Source organism: Homo sapiens, chromosome 3 (genome assembly GCF_000001405.40).
Source record: "Homo sapiens chromosome 3, GRCh38.p14 Primary Assembly".
In the NCBI taxonomy this organism is placed as follows: Eukaryota; Metazoa; Chordata; class Mammalia; order Primates; family Hominidae; genus Homo; species Homo sapiens.
This window is the reverse complement of record NC_000003.12, coordinates 73,587,661-73,605,587: the sequence shown is the minus strand read 5'-3', so window position 1 is coordinate 73,605,587 and position 17,927 is coordinate 73,587,661. Positions and strand designations below refer to the sequence as shown.

Below are 17,927 nucleotides of genomic sequence, written 5' to 3'. Positions count from 1 at the left end.
TGCTTGGTTGGGTTGTGAAATAGCCCAGCCATAGCTCTGACATAAGGCTTTTCATTGCATGATCAGTATGCAATACTCTTAGCAAAATCATATCATTCATTTGTTAGTCCTCATAACCCTAAAGAAACAGCAGCTAGTCTGTTGTATCAAACCTCTCACTTAAGCCTTTGGGAAGTGTACTTTATCGTTAGGTACCCTTGCTATGAAAACAATCCCCTTTCATTTCTCTCTTACTCAAGGCAGCAAAACAAAATAAATTCCAAGTCATATTAGTTCACCTTGATAAATAGCTGTAACTAACTCTCTTAGGAGAGGAGCCAAACAAACTAAGAATAAAGAGATGCCTTTTAAGAGAGAAATCTAGCTTTTTTTTTTTTTTTGAGACGGGGGTCTCACTCTGTCACCCAGGTTGGAGTGCAACGGCACAATCTTGGCTCACTGCAACCTCTGCCTCCCAGGCTCAAGCCATCCTCCCACCTCAGCCTCCCAAGTAGCTGGGACCATAAATGCTCGGCTAAATTTTTGTATTGCTAGAGATGGGGTTTCACCATGTTGTTCAGGCTGGTCTTGAATTCCTGAGCTCAGGCGATCCACCAGCCTCGGCCTCCCAAAGTGCTGGGATTGCAGGTGTGAGCTGCCATGCCTGGCCTGCTTTATGTGCTTTTTGCATCCTTCCCCACCCCTCACCACTGTCTCAGTTTAATCTCACTGCTGGTGTTTGTTCTTGCTTCTTCCTCTCTGATTTTTGCTTGAACTTTCTAGTACTCCTTAAGAGTTATTACTTATGTGCAATGTGGTATTTTGCAAAACAAACGAAAGCCAAAATCCTATCCCCTATCTCCCTCTTTCTCTCCAGCCAAGAAATGCAAAGTGGTTAAATCAGAGTAAACACAGATCTCTTTTCATTTGATATATTGACATCACCTCTTAGGGAACTCAAGCTTGTTCATAAATCTTTTGTGGTCCATTGAGACTCTTCAAGTTCATCTAGTGGAATATTCCATAGCCTGAAATGTTGGACTTCTGAATTCCTGTGTGTTTTGAGTTTTCTCAGTGGGAGACAATATTGCACACAGAGCATGTAATGTGCAAGAGGATCCGCTTCGCCTCAGTTTGAAACTGAGCCATACCACTTTTTAGCTGTGTGACCTTGGATGAGTTTCCGAACCTCTCTCAGTCTCAGGTTTTTCACCTGTGGAATGGGTAATAATAGTACTTACCACTTGTGGTTATTGTGAGGATTAAACAGTGCACATAGAGCACTCACTATGTACCTGGTACCTAGTTTGTGCTCAGTAAAGGAAGCTGCTTTGCAGCTTTATACATATATTTCAGGTGTGCATGTAGGGAGCTACACGGATGTGTTCAGACTAGTGCCTCAGTAAGGCTGCCGTGAGAGAGGAAGGAGGCACAGAGGTATTCAGATGGTAAAGGGTTAGTGTGCAGGAGGTCTGTGCAGAGCACTGTGATGCTAGGCAGGGATGCCTTTTGAGGATAGATGATCCTACACAGCACCCACAGGCTCCCTGACCCTTCTCTTGGAAGAGCGTTGATGGAATCCAGATGCCAGTTAGAGACATATCTTTGTCATGTGGGGATAAATGTCAGGAAAAACACTTAATGCTCATTTTAGGTTGTGATTTTGGTTTCTTTTGGTGAATCATATAACATTTTACTCTGTGTGTGTGTGTGTGTGTGTGTATGTGTGTGTGTGTGTTTGGGGAAGTGTGAAGAAGGAAGGAGAGAAGGACTGAGAAATGTACATTTTTCCAAGCTTAGTTATTGCTGTTGCATTTGAAGGGGTAGACTGAATCACACTTGAAGTCGTTTCCTTCCCCCTTTAGAATATAGGGATTGTTTTTTGGTTTTGTTTTTTGCTGTTTAAAGTGGAAAATGTTTTATTTGAAGAGTTATTTTTAACAAATGGAATTTTTATGTATTTGTATTCAGAGTAATTGTTATTGAAATAAATCTTCTAATGACATACGGCAAGGAATTTACCATGACTAGATTTTGGAGTTTTTGTGGAACATTCTGAGCTTACATTTCAAATGATTTTGTTTGGAAATATCACATGCTTGTGCCATTTAATTTATAAATCCATCTGTTAATCACTAGAAATTTAATCCGTACACTTGGAGAGAATTCATTGCAGTGCTGTTTGAAAAGAAGTTCGTGAACAAGCTGTGAGGGTTTTTTATGAGCTTGTTGGAGCCTTTTGATTTTAAGGAAAGGAAGGAGTTTGAACAGTGAGCTGTCTTCGTTCCCAGAAAGTTTTAGTTCTGACATTTAATTCAAAGATCTAAAGAGATTCAAGGAGGTCAGAGATCAGAATTTATTAGGACTAGAGTGATGGTAGTGCATCGGAACAAAAACAAAATATCTGTTTTCACAGTCAAATTATTAGATATTTACAAGTTTAATAACATTCTGTGCAAATGAGGATGTGGGAAAACACTCTGTCTAATGAACAATAAGTATAAACTCTCTGAAAAGCCATTTGGCAATATCTTTGAAATGTACATATCCTTTTACCCAACAGTTCCATTGTTAGGGATTTGCCCTAGAACTATAATAGCAAAGATAATTTAAAATACAAGTAGGAGAGTATTATCACAGCATTGTTTAATCACAGCAAATGAAAACAGTGTTTATTAGCCTCATGTTGGATACTGTTCAGTCACTTTAAGAAGTAAGGCAGACACGAATTGGTAGCAGAAGATCTTCATGATTTTTAGAGTTAAATGAGAGAGGCAAGGACATAAGAGTCAGACTAGCATAATCACATTTGTATGCAAAAAGGAACAAATGCATATTTAGGAATATGATGTGTTAAAATGTTTTCAAAAGGATGCATAAAGTCAAATAGCTACCATAGGCGGGGGAAGAAGGACAATGGGTTGGAGATGGCAGGGATGCATCATTTTATGTCCTTTGGTGTGGTTTGAAATATTTTACTGTGTGTGTATTTTAGTTTAAAACAGAAATTAGGAGAAACAAATACCTTTTACCCTATTGCCACTCTTGACACAGCAAGAGTCAATTACTGTTTTAAGAGTGCAAGCTTTACTTTCATGCTCAACTTAATGCCTAGCATTCATGCATGTTTTTTTTTTTAACCCAAAGGATAACCACGATGGATCATCCAGTGAAGGAATCTTTGTATCCAAGATAGTTGACAGTGGGCCTGCAGCCAAGGAAGGAGGCCTGCAAATTCATGACAGGATTATTGAGGTATGTGAATACTGGCCAGTGTCTTTGAATAGGCTGAATGCCATCCCATCTTCGTCTAGCTCAAAGCAAGATGTTTGACTGGGGAGGGAGGCCTAAAGTGGTAGATGGTTGAGCGGGAGTCTCACTTTTCCCATTGTGTGGGACCAGATTGAGTGTTGATTGCCTTGGTGTTAAATTTTTGTTAAATGTAGAAAAGCCAGATTATGAGTGGAATGTTCACAATTTGGCTTTTTTCATGTGGACCTCAATCTGTTTCGTATGCATCAGTTACAGTTTCGCGCGAAAACCGTTGAAGAGTTGGATGTTAGAACCAGATGAACGAACCCTGTTGTACAAATTGTGCACCCTGTTCATATTGATTACCAGGGTACAATTGTGTCAGCTTTGGAGTCATTCTAATGTCCTCAGAGCTCACACAGCACACACTTATTTCTACAAATGCATTGTTCTCTCTGTTAGTTTGTCGTCTTTGCCTGTTGTTAGTTGTACAACCTGATTGCCCAGGGATTTGCAGGCAGAGGTTGATATTAGGGTTCACATATCATCACTTACTCCATTTTCAGTTCGTCATTCATCATTTCAAACTTTTATACAGCAGGTTTGTAGACTCATGTAGGGGAAGTGGATCTCTCAGCCCCACCAGACAACACTTTGTAACAGGGTTGCAGTGTTCTAGGATGCTCTGAGTCACTAAAAGGGAGAGAATGATTTGTTGCCTTCTCATATGGGCTCTTGTTGCAAAGTTTGATATAAATGAGTAATTTTTTACTGGTGTTTTGACCATTTTCATAGCTCTTTGGATGGATACACATATGGGCTAAATTGATTGGCTTTCCTATTAGGCAAAAAGTAAATTTGAGAATCCACGATGATATGCCAGACCCCACAAGAAATTCACCCATGGGCCACAGCCGTAATATAGTGCAAATAGAAGAAACCAGAAAAACAGCACCGATACCAGTGGGTGTTTGTTTTCCACATGCATTTTTATCATGTCTGTATTTCCTGAGTATTTTCATGGCCTATTTCAAAATTTAGGACTGAGTGGGAGCTAGGACCACGAGCTAAGCCATAAGTGAAGTTCACATCACTCACTGGAATGTGGCCACAGGCTTCTCCTGGGGAAAGGAGCCTCAGCAAGACAGAGAACAAAGTCTTGCATTTCCAGTCTCATCTGGACACATTCTGCAACGTGCAGTATGCTTCAGGATAATTTGTAATCCTCAGGAAAATACACAGTTAAATCTCACAGGGAAAGCAAACTGAACTAGTTAGGGTGTAAGGCTCCCTCCTCGGAGGGAGTGTGATGTGCTAACTTACATGCTAAAATGATACTTGATTTTGTTTTAAGGACATTATTAATATTGTTGCATCCCCTTTGAATGTTTGAAGGGTTCTTAAACTTGGAGCTTTTTTTGCTGCATGGTTTAGAGTCAGTCTTTGTACTTCCCAGGTCAGGAGACTGGATTTTCCCTAACAGGAATTTGCTTGGGCAAGAGTGCTTTCTTAAGAGCTCAAATGCGTTACTTACTGTCTTTTTTGAGAGTGAATACATTTTCTGAGACTATTGTTCAAAAAGATAAGTACAGCTTCCGTTGCCAAGGGTTTGGTGGAACAGCCAGTTTCTCTAAGTAATGGAATTTCATTGCTCTTGTGTTTTGCAAATGAGAAATCTACAGCTGGGCAGGATTTTCTCTTGGCAAAGGATGATCTGTATTTGAAATGTTGAGTACGGTTTCTGGTAAGTCACATTCCTATTTTGGACAGTATGTAAAATATTAATCATGTAGTGTTGAGATGGAAAGAAGGATGACCACAATAGAGAAACGATATATGTATAATTGCAATTGACAACACTGTGCCTTTTGCAGTCAAATTCTAATCTCTTTTGACATGATACAGTGATTCCCATGACTGAAAATATGTTCTCTGGTTTACCTCATCTGCGTCTGAGTTTATTACCAGGAGGCATAAATGTGATTATTTTGAGAGAGAGAGAGAGAGAGAGAGAGAGAGTGTGTGTGTGTGTGTGTGTGTGTGTGTGTGTGTTTCATTACTAAGAAGAGTCAAAGTCTCTAGTTTTCCACCAGATGTCTTCTTTTTCAGGGGAATGGGCAAACCACCACCAGATCTTCACCGTAAGACCCTTAATTCTTGCAAAGGGGTATTATTAAATCCAGAGATACTAATTGAGTCTTTTCTTTGCTGCAGAGTTCCTCTGCTCTTAATGGTATCTGTTCTCTGAGACCAGAGCAGCGGCTCTTACCCACATCGGTGCCAGCCCAGCTCCTCCCTGTTTTTTTATAAGAAATATTTTGGAATTCCACCAATACTGTGGTGAAATGAAATTTACAAGTAACATTTATATGCATACATACACAAATAATTGTAAAAATATATAGGCTGTTGCATAAAAGAAAATCAAAGGAAGATAATTTATAATAAAATATATCAATATGCCAGTGTTCTGGCACAGTGACATTAGATACCATGGCACTGTCAGATGCTCTCACATCTGTGTAGACTCACTGGGATGCACCTTATGTGGCTGCAGATGCTGCCAGATACAAGAGGCATCTGCTGGTGGCCCAGGCGCCATGAATGGCCTTGCCGTACAGGATGTGAATTTCCATGGTAGTGAACAGGTCATGGTTAAATTCTGACACAGGCAACTACAGTGTTGCTTTGATTTATACAAGAGTTGCATTTCTTGAAATGTCCGTGTGTGTATATGTATATATGGCAAGACATACATGTGGCAAAATATACATAACAGAATTTACCATTTTAACCATTTTAAATGGTTATGCAGTGGCATAAACTACATTGATTTATGTTGCAGAACCAGTACCACCATCCATCTCCAGAACTTTTTCATCTTCCTCGACTGAAACTCTACACTCACTAAATACTAACTCCCTCCCCACCTCAACTCCTAGAAACCACCATTCCACTTTCTGTCTCTAGGAATTTGATTTATAAACGGAATCATGTAGTATTTGCCTTTTGTGACTGGCTTATTTCAGTTAGCATAATGTCCTCAAGGTTCGTACATGTTGTAGCATGTTATAATTTTCTTCCTCTTTAAGGCTAAATAACATTCTGTTGTCTGTATTTACCACATTTTGTCCATTCATTCACCCAGTGATGGACACTTGGGTTGCTTTAACCTTTTGGTTGTCTTGAATAATGCTGCTGTGGATGTGGGTGTACAATGTGTGTATGTTTAAACTGCCAAAAACTCTGTTGTGTTTATATGTAAAACAGAGCTAGGTCTATGCTCAGGTAATTATAAAAAGCTTGTTATTTTATCTTCATGACTGTCTGGTGGGATATGTGATAGTTGTGCTGGAGGCAGAACCATTCTTCATTGCAGGAGATTCTTCGTGTCATCTCTGGCACATACCCCTATTGTTGTGATGGTGAAAAATGCCCCTGCAGATTGCTGAAACTCCCACTGGGGAGTGACAGGGACATCAGGGACAATCACTGAGGTAGAGGTTTGACTTATTCCAAAACCTTGAGATAGGAATTGAGTTGCTCAGGGACAGAGATGTCAACATCCCTTTCTTCCAGCTAGACTGCCTACATGATGTCCCCTATTTGGGTTCCCTACATGAGTGCTCCCAAGGCCTGGTAAGAAAGCCTGAGCTGGCCTGTCCTGGGGCTGTGGCTGGGAATCTGGGGCCCCCTTAGATGAAGTGCCCTTCCAGCCCACATGGCTGCAGGGCCCATGCTGTCCCCTGGAATCCTGTGTGTCCATCTGCCCTGGGCTTGTTGGGCAGACTTTGGTCATACCTATTCCATCTCACATTTGGTACTAGGATTCAGCAAGTTCTGACTTACTCAGTATTGGCTTCTGATTTTTTTGTGTCTTCCCTGCACTCCTCTTACCTGTGAGCTGTCCTGGTCCTTTTTACAACTTCCGACCCCACCTTTGATTGCATATACTTATTGCAGTTAGAAAACTAAATTTAATTTCTCCCTGATGTCTTTAATATTCATTCGAAACTGTAAATATCTCAGTGCCTTTTGTTTTTCTGCCTCTGAACCTACTGTCTGAACTATATTTTAAAGACAATGCAAGGTTCCTATACTTTAATATCACCAGATTTCTTAAAGGAACTATGCTCATATTCTTTCAAATAGTTTGAGAACTTTGGAAAAATTTTCCCAGTGCCCAAAGTGTGGGTTATCCAACTGAGGCAGATTTCCTCATCCACAAACACACCACCTTTCTCTGTGGACTCTGGAGTCTACTTTAGGCCAATCTTACTCTACTGAAAGTTATTTAGGAGAAGGCAAAAATGTGAAAAATCACATAAGATCAATATTACCCTCAAAATTCTCTTAGGGATGTGACACGTGGAGAACATACCATCTCTTCGTAAGTCCAGCCAGCTGGTTTTGCACAGCATTGGATCACCTCACTGTTTCTCAGTTGACTGTCATATGGAGTTTTTGGATTGTTCTGTGAATACCTCATTTGACAAAATGCTCACACTGAGAAAACACCGAGAAACTGAGGCCTACTAAGAAACCAGCAAATTCACTTTGAGGCATGTGCTGTTCAATATATTATTTCTCTCTTCATCTTTTTTTTTTTTTTTTGGTCATGGCTTGCCTATAAGTTAAACACTCCTCTGATGCAACTCCACTGAAATTCTTTCTCAAAGACTTGTAGAGGCCATCCACATCTATATTTCTTGCCAGTCTTCAAGCCATATGGCTTGGAGAACCAAGCTCATTTTTGTGTTACAGGAGGCTTGCCTTTGGTGATAAATGAGTCTGTGTAGTGATTGCGTGGGTTAAACGCTGTTCTGCTTTGAGCTAGCAATCTTGATTCCCTGGATCCAATGAAAGTGGGAGACTTAAGCCCTCTATTCCCAATAACCATTATTTCGTACAATCTTCTGTAAATATGCATTCATCTTGCAAGTGTTATGATTTGAAGACCCGAGGATATGATTACAGAAGCTGTGGAACCTCAAAGGCTTTTGTGTAAACCGGTCATTCTCTTTTTTTGTTTATTTTTGGTTTAGTTGGACTGTCATTGCTAACAAGGTTTGTTACAGGGTCAGCTAGAAAGGATTAGCAATGCTTTCCCTCCCAGAGCCAGGCTACTTGGTGGAACAAAGTGAGATTTCACTGCTTGTGATTATTAGGTGAGAAGATACTGTTCTGAGACCCACTAAAGTTGCAAAATGGAATGTGAATTAAGCTGGAGTATTTATTTAAAAATAAAGTAATAGAAGACTCCCCTTTAAAAAATGTTTCATTTCGACATAATTTCAGACTTGTAGACATGGATTTCTGTACACCGTTAACCCAGATTCCCCAAATATTAACATCTACTACATTTACTTTATTCTTTTCTTCCTCTACTCTTTATCACTAAATTCATCAGTGTGAACTTTTTAGGAATAAGACATTCTCATATGTAACAGTATGGTAATCTAAACTAGGAAATTCATGTTGGTACAAAACTGTTATCTAATCTTCAGAATTTATTCTGATCTTGCTAATGGTCCCTATGATGCCCTTTATAGCAAAATAAAACCACTGTCATGGGTTGTATTCCATTTTCATATTTATTTAGTTTCCTTTACTTTATAACAATTGCTCAGTTTTTGTCTTCCATACCATTGATATTTTTAAAGACTCCAAACCAGATCTTTTCTGGACTGTCCCTTAATTTCTGTTTGAAGTTTCCTCATGGATGGATCCAGGTCATACGTTTTGGGCAAGAATACCACAGAAGTGATAGCATGTCCTTCTCAGTACATAATGACAGGTCTCACATGAGGTGAAGTTGTCCCTTTATGTTAACTTGAACCACTTGGTTAAAGTCGTATCTCTCTGTCTCCACTATAAAGTTACCATTTTCTTCTTTATAATCAATAGTTATCCTGTAGGTAGATGCTTTGAGGCTATGTAAATGTCTTGCTACTCCTCAAACTGTCACACACTGGTTTTATCATCCATTGACTGTGTTTGGTTGAATCTGTTATTGTGATGATTGACAAATGGTGATTTTTCTAACTCCAATCCTTCCACATTAGTTGACTTTCCGCTATAAGAAGTAGTATTCCTTTTTCCCCTATTTAATCTGTTTATCTGTCTGTCTCTTCCTCTGTCAATATGGACTCATGAGTTTTTATAATTTGGTGGTCACATTGTCCCAAGTTTTGGCCCAATGGAGCTCTTTCAGGCTTTTAACCTGTGTTATTTTGACATGTTCCCATCATGTTTTGAGCACTTTCCTACTTCCTGGCACAAGATACTCCAGGTTAATCTTCTGTCCTTGCTCCACTTCTGACATGTGCATTTTTTTCAAGGACCTCTAGCTTCATTTAGTGGAGAATAGTGTTTAGAAACCAAAATATGGGTGCTAGGGTGCTCATTATGATTGAGATTTCATTGCTTCTAGGCACCTTCAGCAGATAGAGCTAGAAAATGTAAATATGTAATATAAACACATGTACACATGTACCACGATAATAACATATACATCTGTCTTTCTGCATTCATCCATCTGTATATCTTGGAAACTATGCCTATATCAATACCTCTAATTTCAGTCCAAGTCAGTTTGTAATCCAGTTTGTAATTCCTAGAGGAATCCTTTTTAAAATACTGATCCACGTGCTTTTTTCCTTTGAATTAAATCTGTGATCTTTGCTTAGATGTTATCAGTGAATTAAAAAATTATTGGTGAAAATTGTTTAAAGTGTTTTAATTTTTGGTTTGGTTTTGGAGAAAAAATATGCTGTAAACCAAATGATTTTGTAATTATATATTTTTTCATTTTCTTTCATTTCTTTAAGAAAGACTTGATATTTCTTGCTTAACTATACACAGGAAACTTATTTTGCTAAACACACACAGATATGCATAATCCATTTTTGGTTAATGTTAGAAATAAACACATGAGGCTATACTCCTCTCCTTCACAGGGACTGATCCCCATTTACCATATTCAGCAGAGGAGTATGAAAAGTTTGATAGCAGTTATCCACTTAAGAAGTAAAACCTATTCATGTTATTTGAAATCTCTGTTTTCTTGGTTACCCAAATATTCTGTTTTGATTAAAGAAACTTGATATAATTCAAGCTGCGTTGAGAAGATTCTTTGTTAGCTGCAAAAGTAAGCAGATTTTAGAGATCAGTTATTAGTAATGGACTCCAACTCTCCGTTTCCAAAGGTGGAAGCTAGAGTTTCTTCTTATATATCAATTTCAGTATACATAACGACAATGACATCACCTTGGATTATGGTGTCAAAAAATTCTGAGGACATTCCTGGATTGAGTGGAGATGAGCATTGTGATCATTTATTGATGTTTGTCATGGGCACATAAACAAGGAGAAGGGTGACTTTTTGCTGTGTATTTGCTATCTCTGGATAGACTCACTTAAATGATGTTTTTGGAACTATTGCATTGTCATTTGGTAGTAATGACTGTCTTTTCACTAGCATAGCTGCACTCTCAATAAGTCAGTACATCTCCATCTTTTTAGTCTCCACTTGTAAAATAAAGTGAATATCATATTTTCCCCTCTCTTATTTCCCGATTTAGCCACTTTTATCACTTTTGCTTTACCTTAATAGTCTTTACTACAGCAACAGAAGACTCTAACACAGGTAAGACTTCTCTGAAATGCAGCTGATCTCCTTACTATTAGAAGGAACATGTTGAAATGGAAAGAACCATTTAGATTTAAATCAGGAGACCCAGGTTTAAGTCTCCACCCAGGTATTCACTCTGGTGTTGGGATTCTAAATGTTGAGTCTTCATCTCTAGAATGGGAGGAGTATTTACTGCTTGTCTTTCCTACCTGTCATGCTATCTGGGTGGACCAAGGAAACAATGTAGGTAAAGGATTTTTGCAATTAAGTACAAAGGTGGAGAGTTGTTATTTCAAGTTAAAATTTTTGTACAGGATACGAGAACTTAAAGCCAAATATAGAAGTTAACAAAAACTTTTCTGAGATCTGTTTTCTTCTTGTTTATGTATATCAGCAAGTATGTGGAGCTGCTATAGAATTATTGAGAAAATCTTAACCTATTTCATGGAGACATACTTTCCAGAATTAACAAGATGACCAATTAAAAACAAATAGCCCTCCTTTAGTCCATGGTTGCCTTAAACAATATATTATGTATTAATTTCTTTCTAATGACTGTGCATAGCTTATTGTGTGGTATATGGGCTTTGTTATATTTATTACTGTCATTATTTTCCTTATTTTCCTATCAAAACTAGCCTTTCAGTGAATATCTTTCTAACATACATCACTTTATACTAGTCAGATAAATATAAAACTCAGGTGAAGAGTGGACAGTATGGAGTGCTACAACTCTTGCAGAATTTAGCTAGCAGGTTTTTCACTTTTTACTAGAAAAACCAGTAGAAACAAAAAAATAAAACATGGTATGATGCAATTTGTTTATTTTTAAGGCATTTATATTAGTCTTTGCAGGGGAAAAATGCTCTGAGCTAATGAACAGTTTATAGTTATTGTAGTTATTTTGTTTGATGGGATTATGGGGAACTTTAAGTAAAGCCACATTTCTGTAATGTTGGAGTTCTCCAAAGTGTGTGTGTGTGTGTGTGTGTGTGTGTGTGTGTGTGTGTGTGTATATTTATTTCGGTAAACAGTAAGAATTAAAAACTTGGTAATTTAAAAGTGTCTTTTGATTTTAAATATCACAAAGTGGACACCTGCTTATGTATTTCCTTTTAAAAGTCACTTAACATTCTCATTTCTACAAGCTCATAGCATATGGCGCCAGGTATGGAAACGCAGAGGCATCTGTCTCCTGCTGAAACCCTGCAGTCAGGATATTGGGTGCTTCTCTTTGGCAGAGTGTCTCTCCCATCCTCTGTCCGTGTTAGAGTTTACTTTGTATTGACATTATGTACTTTTTTGGGAGTTCTGACTCCACAGAAGTTTTAAATCTGTCCCTCAAAGTCTTCCTTTCATAAAAAGATTTAATTAGGTAATCCACAAAGCATTTTAAAATGAAGAATAAATTAGAAGTAACCAATGTCCGCATTAAATTCTTGAGTGAAGATTAGGTCAAAAAATTAAATCTTAGGTAATTTCCTGAGGACCATAAAACAAAACAACAAATTCTTGACAATAATACAGGTCAAATATATTTTATATTGTCATCTTTACATGTGATATCTAGACACTTATCTTTAAATATGGGGGTTTTGAGAGCAGTAACCTTATCTGTTTTTTTTTTTTAAGGAAGTTTTTGTCTTTTCATCTGTTGCTGTAACACAAAAAGAGCCAGATGCATTTTTATTCAATTTGGAAGGTGTGTTAGGGATGGGCTGACTTAAATGCTAATCTGTGAAGTATATGTAACATGAGCGAGCGCTAGGGGAACGCTTCAAAGCAGTAGGCAGACATCATTGTGGAGCTAAACTAAGCACAGTGCCTATAGACCAGGGTGCTATGAACAGGCGGAAAGAGTGTTGACAATCAGAAATTGTCAATGGTAATTGCAAATAGGAAGACGCAAGGGCAGAATGGCAGCTGCAAGCACTGATTTGCAATTATGCCACTTTCACTGGGAACTCTGAGTACTCCAGGGTGGGTAGCTGCTGCAGCTTGCTTTCTTCTAATGAGGATTAATGATTACTTTGAGCCTCACGGTGGAGAGCAGCTGGTATGGAATGAGTCTGCCATGCCAAGTGCCACAGTGCTCAGTGGAGACCTCTGGCTCTTACCCTGTTTAAATCTATTTTGATGACCACGTGAACTGCATAGAAACTGGGTCTCACCCCTTTTCTCCTGAGAGTGGCACTCCCCTCTGCCCTTTAGGCTCTTCTAATTCTCTTTATTTCCTTCTTTCATTGCTTCCTTCTTTCCTGCTAACCCTAGTGGGTCATTTGACAGCTTTCAGGGATCGGGAGAACTCAAAGCCTAAGAGTGTTTGGTTTCCTAGGCACTCCCACACCCCTCAAAAAAAGAAAAAATGCAAGTCAGCATTAAAACGAACTAAATATGTTTATTTTTTATTTTTCAATATTTGGAGACACTCTGGGGTGGAGCAAAATTGACAGTCTAATTTAAAAAGACAGGTTTTTTTTGTTCTTTTCATAGAATGATTGTTGCTAGGAAATGGACATATGTTTCCAGACATATTGATTTGAGGATCCGTTAGCCAGATAAATGCAACGCACATCCAAAAACTGGTTAGATGTTGATTTTAAACATTGGATAGGGGATGATTTATATAGCATGATCTGTATAATTGTTGTGACTTGTTAAAAAATCTTCATGTTGTGTGAGTTGTTAGGATAAGAGAGGATAACAGGGGAAGAGAAACCATTAGTAGACATATGTTCACTTGTTGGGTGTGCACTGAGTTCTGCCTAATATGAGATAGGTCAGGATACCCAGAGATAAACTCCCTGGCTCTAGGGAGTTTACATGTGAGACCTATGTTTATAGGAAAATAACACCAAGTTAATTAGAAGGGCAGCCAGTATATGCAGAGGTTAAGAGCTAAGGACTCTGGAATCAGATCAACTTTTGAATTCTAGTTCTATCATTTGCGAGCTTCATGATCTTGGGGAAACTTCTTATCTCTGAGCATTGCTTTCTTCTGTAAAATGTGGATAAAGTTGCCATAATAAAGAAAATATTCTTTGTGTGTCTGAATACTGCAATTTTGGCCCCGGAATAAATGCTCACCAGGTGGTTAGCTATGCTGTGTTGTTTCCTGTGGGTCTTTAGAGGCTGGGCTGGAGGAGGTTTCCAGCAAGCCAACACTTTGATGACGGCTATATGACACAGTTTCATAAACCTGAAATTACAGTTGTGAGTAGACCATTTTAATTTGTTTTTTATTTCTTTTTGATATTAGTGAGCCTTTGTATCTGCATTAAGAGCTGCCACTTCCTAAGGCCATATAAATCAGAATAATTGATCAATCAGGAATAATTCTTAATTTACATCTTAGTGTGAACAACATGGTAATTCATTGCATATGTGCTGACATAAGTGTTCCAAAAATAAAGTCAAACAATTGTGTGTTCAATATCAGCTATTTTTAAAGTGCCAAAAACATTAAGATTTCTGTTTTTATAATGACTCATGAGTAATATTGGGATTTTCTTAAAATTAGGAACAGTTCATCTTTCTTTAGCAAAAATGTCCCTTAAAATTGAAATAGTTTAGTTTCTTTTTAGGGTAACTTTTTATGTCTTGATATGAATGTAATACACCATTGTAGAAAAATTGAAAAATACAATAAGACATAAAGATGAATATAGAAACCCTTACTGATACTAAGTATTATCTTGACAAAATATCAGTTTGATCATTCAGGAATGCATATAATGGCTTCTGTGTTAGAATCTGATGGGGCATGGGAATTGCATAAGGATCACTAATATTTTCATTACTTGTTCTAAACTCTAGTTTAAATGAAGAGGGAGAACTTCACGTAAAATAGAATCGATTAAGTATGATTGTGTTGCAGCATTATTATTGGATTTCTGATGCTTTGTGTCATTCTTTGAAATATCTGAAAAAGTCAATGTGCTTGTAAGAAACATGAGTGAGATAATATTAACATATGAGGGGGACTTGGAATAGAATTGCTGGTGATACAGGAATTTGTAGAAGCAAGAGAATCAAGCAAGAGAAAATATTTCATCATTTTTATTGAAAGCTTGAAACTTTTTAATACTCTCAACAGAACAACATCTTAATTTTACAAGGTAAATTTGAAAACTAGAAAAAAGAACTACTTTCTTTTTAGATGATGGTACCAAAGTTGTTGACGTTTATTATTTCTCCATTCAAATGCCCAAGTTAGCATCTTAGTACCTAGAGAACTAATTCCCTCTGGTATGTGAACCAGTAGAGAGAGACCTAACCAGAGGAAGGGCACTAAGTGCCAAGTTAGACGGAATTGTTTTCTCAGAGAATTGTTACCTAAACCTTGGTATTTGCATTTTAATGAAGTTCCAGAAAACAGTTTAACTTTTATTAGCTACAGTCTTTTAATCTGCGTTTTTTCTTTTTTCATTCTCTTTCTTTTTTTTTTTTTTTTTTGAGACAGAGTCTTGCTTTGTCACCCAGGCTGGAGTGCAGTGGTGCGATCTCAGCTCACCATAACCTCTGCTTCCCCGGTTCAAGCGATTCTTGTGCCTCAGCCCCCCAAGTAGCTGGGATTACAGGTGCCCGTCACCACACTCAACTAATTTTTGTATTTTTGGTAGAGATGGGGTGTCGCCATGTTTTCCAGGAGGGTCTTGAACTTTTGACCTCAAGTGATCCACCTGCCTTGGCCTCCCAAAGTGTTGGGATTACATGCGTGAGCCGCTGAGCCCAGCTAATCTGCGTTTTGACAAATAATATTTTTCAGATTGCTTAGCATTAAAGAGCTTGTAAAATATATATGAATATATATGACTCTATATGAATATATATATAAATCTGAACATTTATGCCTGAACACAAGCACTTTGTTGGCTTCACGTTAGTAACTCATGAGATTTTGCCTTCATTTTGTGTAAGTCACTTGAAGACCCAAGACAAATTGGATGAAGTTTTAAGCTGTTTTGTATATAGTCTGTGTTTAATAATCTTCATTTATACTTTGTAAGAAATGAAAGGAGAATCCTTTGGGCAGATGGTATTATGTAAAGTGGTGACAAGGAAATCTTTATTTTGATGCAGGGACTTAATTACTTGTGAAGCCTATTTATAGGTAAGTTTAGGTTGATTTGCTTGATAGACTTAGTAAATCTTACAAGTGAAATTCAGAGATTCTCATCTATTAAACTTACCAGATTTAACAGAACATACAGGGAGTTACACTGATTCAGAGGGAAAAGGACAAGGAAGGAAATTGCTATTTCTATTTAAATAACATTTTTCTTTTCTCCTTTAGTTTGTTTGAAAGTTAAGCCCATAACAAGTGTTCGTTGCTTTTTGTCATGATCAGAATATTAAAGGATTCAGTAATAAGAGCCATTTGTGGCCTTTTGTAATAATCCATCCCAGTTCTAGGTGATCTTTTAAAACTTAAAATAGTAGAGATAGATGAGAGAAATTCAATGTTCTTCCTTTCATTCTGAGTCAGCTTCTTCCAGTCTTGATTAAGCACGTTGCTTGTGACAAATACAAACCAAAAGTGTCCCAGCTACTTGGGAGGCTGAGGCAGAATGGCGTGAACCCAGGAGGCGGAGCTTGCAGTGAGCAGAGGTTGCACCACTGCACTCCAGCCTGGGGGACAGAACGAGACTCTGTCTCAAAAAAAAAAAAAAAATCATATCTTCTGGGAGGATGGCCATTAAACTGTTTTATGAATATTCAAGAGAGGAAGTCAGTCCTTCTGATATATCACAGGGCAGTGGAAAGAGTCCCCCTTCATCGGAGAAAAATCAGAGTGAGGGATAGTCAGTGAAGCCTGTTTAGCATTTTGCATCGATCATCAAACCTAAACAAGTGTTTCTCAGACTTGAGTCAGTCATACACCACCTGCTCAGTCTTTGCTATATATGTGCCACCTGTTTTGCTAAATGCTCAACATTATTCTTAAAGCAACATTCTTTTAACTTTATTTTAAAAAGAAACTGTGTGTCATGACTGTAAATGGAAAGTCATTGTCATGTGTTGTAAATAGAAGATAAGAGTAAAAATAAACACTGAACATGTAGAGGTAGTCAATTTAAGCTAGACAGCTGAAAACTCTGGTCTTTGAGCCTTGCTTTCTCTTTGTCTAAGAGCAAAACTAATTAGTGGGAGTAGAAGTCAGGACAGTGGTGGGAAACAGGACTGAGGAGGGCTTTTGAGGGTGCTGGTCCCATTCTGCTCCCGATCTGGGCAGTAGTTCAGGAGCATGTTCACCTGTGTAAATACACCAAGATGTACACTTAGGATGAGTTCACTTTCTTTATGTTACATTTGGATAAACTTTATTTTTAAAAGTGGTGTTACCTGTTTACAATAGTAAAGATGTGGAACCAACCCAAATGCCCATCAACGATAGCCTGGACAAAGAAAATGTGGTACATAAACACCATGGAATACTATGCAGCCATAAAAAGGAATGAGATCATGTCCTTTGCAGGGACGTGGATGAAGCTGGAAGCCATCATCCTCAGCAAACTAACACAGGAACAGAAAACCAAATACTGCACGTTCTCACTCATGAGTAGGAGTTGAATATTGAGAACACATGGACACAGAGAGGAACAGCACACACCAGGGCCTGTTGAGGGGTGGAGGGTGAGGGGAGGGAACTTAGAGGACAGGTCAACAGGTGCCGCAAACCACCATGGCACACATATACCTATTAAACAACCTGCATGTTCTGCACATGTATCCCTGTTTGGTTTCGTTTTTAGAAGAAATAAATTTTTTTAAAAAACAAGTAGTGTTAACAAACATTTTTGCCTCAAATTGACTCTGTGCTCTAGATGTAAGCAGATGGGTTAGAGATTGACAATGGAGTGACTTGGATAACTTGGGTTAGAGATTGACAGTGGAATGACATCATGTCATTCAAGGTCGTTTTAATGGCAGAGCCCAGGGTCACCTAAAATAAAGTGAAGTGCTCCCTGACTTCAGCATGCCCAGGGCTGTCGTGTACCAGTCTGAGCTAAACTTTTCATGTGCCTGCTTTGGTTTGGTTGGTTGAGGAAAGAAAGAGTCC

The 17,927-nt window shown here is 38.2% G+C and overlaps 1 protein-coding gene and 1 pseudogene across 2 annotated transcripts in view; both read left to right on the top strand.

The window, feature by feature from the left end:
- PDZRN3 (PDZ domain containing ring finger 3) overlaps positions 1 to 17,927 on the top strand; it is a 242,511-nt gene that overhangs the window by 19,354 nt on the left and 205,230 nt on the right. For both annotated transcript variants that reach the window (XM_017005942.3, NM_015009.3), the window contains one exon: positions 3,127 to 3,234. In XM_017005942.3, coding sequence (XP_016861431.1) covers positions 3,127 to 3,234 — 108 coding nt within the window. The remainder of the gene's footprint in view (positions 1 to 3,126; positions 3,235 to 17,927) is intronic.
- On the top strand, positions 11,586 to 11,648 carry RNU7-119P (RNA, U7 small nuclear 119 pseudogene; annotated as a pseudogene).